Source organism: Homo sapiens, chromosome 10 (genome assembly GCF_000001405.40).
Source record: "Homo sapiens chromosome 10, GRCh38.p14 Primary Assembly".
NCBI lineage: Eukaryota > Metazoa > Chordata > Mammalia > Primates > Hominidae > Homo > Homo sapiens.
The window spans coordinates 78,770,783-78,778,107 of NC_000010.11; the positions used below are offsets into that span (position 1 = coordinate 78,770,783).

At 50.9% G+C, this 7,325-nt stretch overlaps 1 annotated feature.

The window, feature by feature from the left end:
- Positions 6,198-7,085: an enhancer, noted in NCBI's record as "H3K27ac-H3K4me1 hESC enhancer chr10:80536737-80537624 (GRCh37/hg19 assembly coordinates)". NCBI's record gives its function as "activates a minimal SCP1, AML or CMV promoter by ChIP-STARR-seq in naive H9 embryonic stem cells {active_cell/tissue: H9 hESC(naive)}" and the evidence as "EXISTENCE:reporter gene assay evidence [ECO:0000049][PMID:30033119]".

The following is a 7,325-nucleotide window of genomic DNA, read 5'->3' on the forward strand; positions in this document are numbered from 1 at the left end:
AGGAGCAAGGCTGTTGGGGAAATATGGGAGGATGGTGTATGCACTCCAGGCTGCCTCTGTGCTGTCCTGAATACTTCTGTGGGTTTAGGCATCTCCTGGTGAGATGAAGAAAACTGGGTCGGGAAGCAAAGGGTGAACAAGTACTTCCAGGCCTTCTGAAGCGAAGCTTCCTCCAGAGGACTAACAGTATGGTGGCAAAATCCTGGCCCAGGGTCCCTGTCCTGGTTTCAAATCCTGGAGCTAACCCACACTTACAGCGTAACCTGAAGTGAGACCCTCTGGCTCTCTGGGCATCACCATTCTGTTGTGGAATCTCTGTTTGTTTGTTTGTTTGTTTGTTTGTTTGTTTTGAGACAGAGTCTTGCTTGGTCACCCAGGCGGGAGTGCAGTGGTGTAATTTCAACTCACTGCAACCTCCACTTCCTGGGTTCAAGTGATTCTCCTGCCTTAGCCTCCCGAGTAGCTGGGATTACAGGCATGCGCACCCACACCTGGCTGATTTTTTTATTTTTATTTTTAATAGAGATGACGTTTCACCATATTGGCCAGGCTGATCTTGAACTCCTGACCTCAAGTGATCCACCCAGCTCAGCCTCCCAAAGTGCTCAGATTACAGGCGTGAGCCACTGCGCCTGGCCGTGGTGGAATCTCTTAATGTCTCAAGGTTATGGTGAGGCCTAAATGAACCTATGGGCCTGAGAAATCCTGTGCCTGTGAAGGCCAGGCCTGTTTTCCTGGCAAATAAAACAGCAACGTCTGAGGCACAACAAGAACAGCAGCCAGGCAGTTTGCTTTATATGAATTTTTAACCCCCAGGAAATCCAAAGGCAGGCAAGCGGCATTACTGGGTGCCTGCTATGTGCCAGGCATGGTGCTGGGCTATGACCTACAGTATCTCATTCTCCCGTGCCATGGGGCCTGCCTGTGTGGCATTGGGGTTAAAATACCCATGTTTTTTCAGAAGAGGAAAGGGAAGCACAAAAACTGGCCAAGGTCACATCTCTAGAAGGCTTCTGATTGTCTGCAAAGAAGTCACAAAGAAATGAGTCGAGGTGAGGGCCAGGGCAATAGAGGGGCAGGTTTGGAAGCCATTTGTACATTATGAGACCTGAATAGAAGTTTTGGAGTCAAAATAAATAAGTAAGCAGCTGATTTCCCTGGAGGAGACTCAAGCCACCTTTTATTATTTCATTGGCTCAGGAGCCAAAACAGCTGCATTTTATCATTCCTCAGAAATCCATAAAAGGGATGGAAAATGCTGGTGCTTATGGGGAAAATGGATGAGCATTTAAATTTAATTGTGGCCCCCTGCTGCCTGTGATGGGGCCTGGAGATGATGCCTATGAGCCTTGGGATTGCCCCGGCAGAGCAGCGGAGAGGAATACTTTGCATCCAGAGAGGGCATCCGGCCTCCAGGCCCAACCTGACCCCTTGTCTCTGCCCTCCTGCAGCCTCCATCCCCCATTCTCCCCATTCCTAGGACATGGTCCTGAGTGTTTCTGTGTGTTGTGTGCCTGGCCTTCTGCCCCAGCCTGGGAGCTCCATATAGGCTGGCCGGGTTTCCCTGGCCCCAAGTGGCCATTTCAGGCCTGCACAGTCGCTTACGTGGGAAGCTTCCCTTCCATCCCTGACAGTGGCCTTGCCTGGCCTCTCCTGCTCATTCTTCTTGACAGAACAACCAGGGTAAGCTTGTATACTGGACTCTGGCCTCAGTGCTGACTTGGTGAGGTACAAGATACCCTCATTGTCGTTCATGCAAGAAAATCAAGGGTTGCGGGTTCTATAAATGTAACAAGCATAGTTCAGGGGCCTGCGATCCGGCGCTTCCAACAAGCTCCTGGGTGATGCCCTTGTGGATGCTTTGTGGACAGCAGCCTGACACTCATGGCTTCCTAGGGCCATATGCTTCAGTCAGAGATGGGCAAACTGAGGCCCAGAGGGGCAGGGAGTTACCTGAGGTTACATTACGAGAGGGAAGGGAGAAGGGGACTCCCACCCCTGCCCTGCCCTCTCTCCCAGGATTCCAAACTCATACGCTCTAGGGATTGAAAAGCAGAAATGCAAGGATACGGTCAGGCAGCTCCTACTCAGCTCCTGCCACTGTCCCCAGGACCATGCAGGCCTAGTGACAGCAGTGCACCTGATTCTCAAGAGAAGTTGGAAATGCAGAATGTCACATACCTCCCAGTTTTAGATCTTTTCTGGTCAAACCAAACCTATTGGCAAGTCAAGTGGCTCTGGAGTGCCCATCTGAACGCTGCTGTTTTCCATCCCAGGAGTGCCAGCAAGGACACCTCCCTCTCCCTCAGCCTCTCGCCCATGCCCTCCCTGAATGGCCTCACTCGCTGCATGTGGCAGGTATCTGGCCTTCCTGCACCTGAATGCTGGGGCTGGACCAGGTCACCCCAGCCCTGTTCAGGAGAGAGGCCCGAGGCCCGAGAGGCAGAATGGAGGAGGCAGGTTTAAGGGTCTGGCAAACGTGGCTGCCAGCGCTAGCTCTGCATGCTCTTAACTGTGACCTTCCTCAGCCTCAGCTCCCTTACATGAGAAGTGACGATGGTCATGACAGACCCCGCAGAACCTTTGTGCACGTGATCCAAGATCAGAGGCAAGTCCCTGATGCAAGGCAGTAGCTCTGCCAACTGGGGCTCCTCTCTGGGTCCCTGCTCTTTCTGATCAATTATCGGCACACCCTGCCCACTGCCAGGGGCTTTTAGGTGCTGTAGACACTGCCCATGGTCCACTTCGTACTAAAATCCCTTTACCCTGCCTGGGTCTCCTCCCTCACTCTCCTCCTGATTTCCCGTTCCATTTTCACCCAAGCTCCAGCTCTTCCTGGAGATGCCTCCCTCCAGAGCAACAGCTTCTCAACAGGCAATGTAGGGATGGAAGAGTCTTCATCTTAAACACAAGCTCTGCTGGCCAGGTGCGGTGGCTCATGCCTATAATCCCAGCACCTTGGGAGGCCGAAGCGGGTGGATCACCTGAGGTCAGGAGTTTGATACCAGCCTGGCCAACATGGTGAAACCCCATCTCTACTAGAAATACAAAACAATTAGCTGGGTGTGGTGGCACACACCTGTAATCCCAGCTACTCTGGAGGCTGGGGCAGGAGAATTGCTTGAACCCAGGAGGCGGAGGTTGCAGTGAGCCGAGATCATGCCATTGCACTCCAGCCTAGGCAACAAGAGCTAGACTCTGTCTCAAAAAAACACACACACACACACACACACACACACACAAGCACTGCTATACTGGACGTGGCTGCCTGGGGCAGTGTGGAATGAGATGGTCTGACGTCCTCACTCAGTAAGAGGAACGGCTGGGATCAGTTAGTGATGTCTGCTGTGGGTGCGGTGGTGAGGAGTGGCAATGGCGCATGTGCAGTGTGCAGGCTACTCACCATCCCTTGCAGGGAGCACCTGTCATCCAGGCAGCTCTTCCCAATCTGCCTTCTTATTCACACTCCTCGAAGCCCCACCGTGAGCTTGGAGGCAGTGCACCACATAAAACATAAGAACATCGGGCCGGGCTCGGTGACTCACGTCTGTAATCCCAGCACTTTGGGAGGCTGAGGCGGGTGGATCACAAGGTCAGGAGATCGAAACCATCCTGGCTAACACGGTGAAACCTGTCTCTACTAAAAATACCAAAAAAACAAATTAGCCAGGTGTGGTGGCGGGCGCCTGTAGTCCCAGCTACTCGGGAGGCTGAGGCAGGAGAATGGTGTGAACCCGGGCGGTGGAGCTTGCAGTGAGCCGAGATCGTGTCACTGCACTCCAGCCTGGGCGACAGAGTGAGACTCCATCTAAAAAAAAAAAAAAAAGAAAGAAAAAAAGAAAAAAGAAAGAAAATCGGAGACATTGGGAGGTAAAGTGACTTGCCCAAAGTCCCAAGTCCCAGAAAGCCCAAAGGTTGGACCAGAGCCTAGTATTGCCTAAGTCCCCTCCCCTTTCTTTGCCTGCTGGCTCCATTTCGCCACATCCTGAGAGTAGCCAACGTGTGGGGACAAGGATATCACTCGGCATGCATGGACCTTTCCCAGGCAGTGTTTGGGCCCTGACTCTCATATCTTAGAGAAAACTCAGGCCTTGGTATCTCTAGAGCAGCCTGTGTGACCCTGGTAAGCCCCTCCTAATTTGCAGACCTCATTCTCCCAGTTTTCAAAGGATAGGGAGTGGTGCCTCCCACCGAACGAATGGCTGAATGGAGAATCTGCCTGAAGTGCTTGCTACTCAGGAGACCTGACCCCTGCTGGTTCTCATAGCAGGACCTCTGACTCCTCTCCAGCTTCCCCGTGGGCTGTGGCTCATTTACAGTCCTGTAAACAGCCCCATGGAGAGCATCCTGACAATCGGTAGAAGGGGAGGAGAGTGGAGACTTCACACGGGCCCACCCCCACCACCATGGGATTCTGCCAATCCCACCACCAGCATGAAAACATTCCTGTCCCTGAGGCCACAGAGTGTGGTCAGGCCAGGCCCAGGCTGTTCTGTCCCAAGGTCCAAGGTCAGAGCCCTCTCCTGCCTGCCTGGCGACTCAAACCATAGCCTCTGCCCCTTAAGCCTCAGCTGGTGGCACCTGCCCCATGCCGCGTCACCTGGCGGGAGAAAGCTGGATGAGATAACGTCTGGCCTGGGATCCGGCTGTAGTGAAAGAAAAGCTCTTTGCACACACGGCTGAGCCTTCACTTATTTATTTATTTTTGTTTGCAGCTCTCAGCCCGACTCGGCAAACCAGGTCATGAAGGGGAGAAGCTCATGTCTGTCTTGCAGCCTGATTTCCCACGGAAAGGCCCCATGTTTACAGTTCTGGGGTTTCCCAGCAAAGAGTAACACTCCAGTTGGAAGCTCATGTGGCCAAAGAATGTCTCCGGATCAGAGAAAGGCAACACACCACCCAAGAACACAGCTCTGTGGGGGGTCCCAGGAACAGGGTTGAAAAAGCAAAGGGAAAAAATATATAGCATTAATTTAGCATCTACTGTGTGCTAGGTAGTATGCTAGAGATTTCATCTCAGCTCATTTATCCTTAAAACAATCATACTGGGTGGGCAATTCTCAATCCTATCTGTACAGAAAATTTGTAAACATCATCAGTGGTTCTGGCTTCATTTTTCTGGGTGGGCCCTGGGCATAGTATTTTTAAAAGCATCCCAGGAGATTCTAATGGGCAGCCAGGGGTGAGAAATGTGGCCTTAAGCAGTGTTTCTCAAACTTCTGTGTGCATAGCAACAAATCTCTTGGATCTTATTAAAATACAGATTCCAATTCAACAGGCTGGGCCAAGGCTGTATTTCTGCATGTCTAGCTAGCTCCCAGGGGATGCCCAAACTGCTGGTCCCTGGACCACACTTTGAGGAGCAAAGGTGTAGCCTATAAACTCCAAGGCAGTAAGACTTATTGCTGCATCCCAAGTACCTCCAACAACGCTAGGGCTGAGTAGCTGCAGAATAAATATTTGTCAAAGGCATAAAGAAATGAACAAGGCTCAGAGGCAGGTATTGTGTGGCTGTCATGTGAGCTGGGGGACTGTGCACAAGTTACTTAAATATCTCATTCACTCCAATTTTCATTTGAAAGATGGGAGCAGTCATATTTTGAATTCCAGTGGGTTATTTGAAGGATTAAATGAGATGATGTGCAGACTGGTTATTAGATGATGTTAAAAATTATTGCTTACTTTTTAAGGTATGATAATAGATGTGTGGTTTCAGTTTAAAAATATTTTAACTAGTAGCAACACATACTGACGTATTTACAGGTGAAGTGATACAATGTTGGGTGTTTGCTTTAGATATTCCAGCAGAGAATGATGAAGTGAAGAAGAAAAGGAGGAAAAAAGAGGGGGAAGGAAGAGAAAAAGAAGAAAAGCAGGAGGAATTGATTTAAAAACAACAACAACAAAAAATGCCAATTGTTATTGAAGCTGGGTAGTGAGTATAAGGGAGGCCCTCGCTATTCCATTTTTGCATACATTTTCCATGATAAAAAGTTAACAATAAATTAAAAATGTGATAAAGCAGATAACATGCTTAACTTGGCTCCTGATTTATAGCAAGTGCTCAATACACAGTAGGTCCTGTTTCTTTGACTTGGCTGTGATCACGAGGCACCCACCAGTGCACCCTCCAACCCTGAGTGATGTGTGCTGCGTCCCAGCATCAGAAAGAGGAAGGATGAGATTTGAAACGAGGTCTTCACAGTGCTCCGCCCACAGCACCCCATGGCTAAGAAGCAGTGTTAGTTTACCTTCCCTAACAATTAGCAGCCATGGCTATGGTAAAAATAAGAACCATTATGGAATACTACGTCAGGCCTTTTGCATGCATTATTTAATTACACGATTTATTTACATTATTTAATTACATTAATTAATTACATTGTTTCAGCCCTGCAAAACCCTATGAGGTAGATGCCATTCCTACCACTCCCCAGGTAAGCAGAAGACTCAGAGCTGAGGTGCCCTGGCCAAGGGGACCCTGTCCGCCCTGGACATCCCAGTATGCACGGGTGGCCTCTGCATTATTTAATCTGTGACCTGCTTTGGCATCTCACTCCTGGTCTCAGCTCCTGAGGCACATCCTGCCTGCCCTCCTCACTGCTGCGTCTCTAGTGCCTGCATCCACAAGGTAGACCCTCAGGCAACAGCTCTTGCCTGCCCCCCAGCTGGACCCTGGCATGGGTGCCCAGGCACATGGAGGGGACAAGTGGCCCCTCCCTTCCCCTCCCTGTCTGAACCCGGAGGGTGGGATTTCCGTCCTAGGACTGAGCTATTATAAGTACAAGGCCGCCTGCTCCCCTGGGCTGCACACCAAGTTCTGCTGCAAACTCCAGCATGAATGGCAGCCATTCTCTGCCCAAACTCCAGCTCACTTCAGCTGTGTAGTCTGGGAAGGAAGACCTCAGCCTTCCCCAGGCCTGTAAATACCAAAGCCACACACGCAGCAGGACTGCAGCAGCCAATAAATCTTGGCCCCAGGGTTCTCTTAAAGAGGCAGAGCTTGGGACCAACACCAGGCCAGGCCCTGCCTGGTGACAGCCAGCACTCCATCCACCTCCCCTCGTCCCAGCCCCAGGATGAGGACAGAGAAGGCAAACATGCAGCAGGCACTCTCCCCATAAGCTTGCTTCTCTTGCTTTATAAAATCTAACTTTTTCCCCCTCTGCTGCTCACCCTAGGGTTAGGCTAACAAGGAGTCCAGTGGGAATGAGCATGATACATTTTCTGGACGTCAGAGCCACTGGACTGGTGCAAGAGGCTGTGTGGGAAAGCAGCGATCCCTTGGGCTGTCCACAAGGCAAGCTAGGGGATGCCAAGGTGGA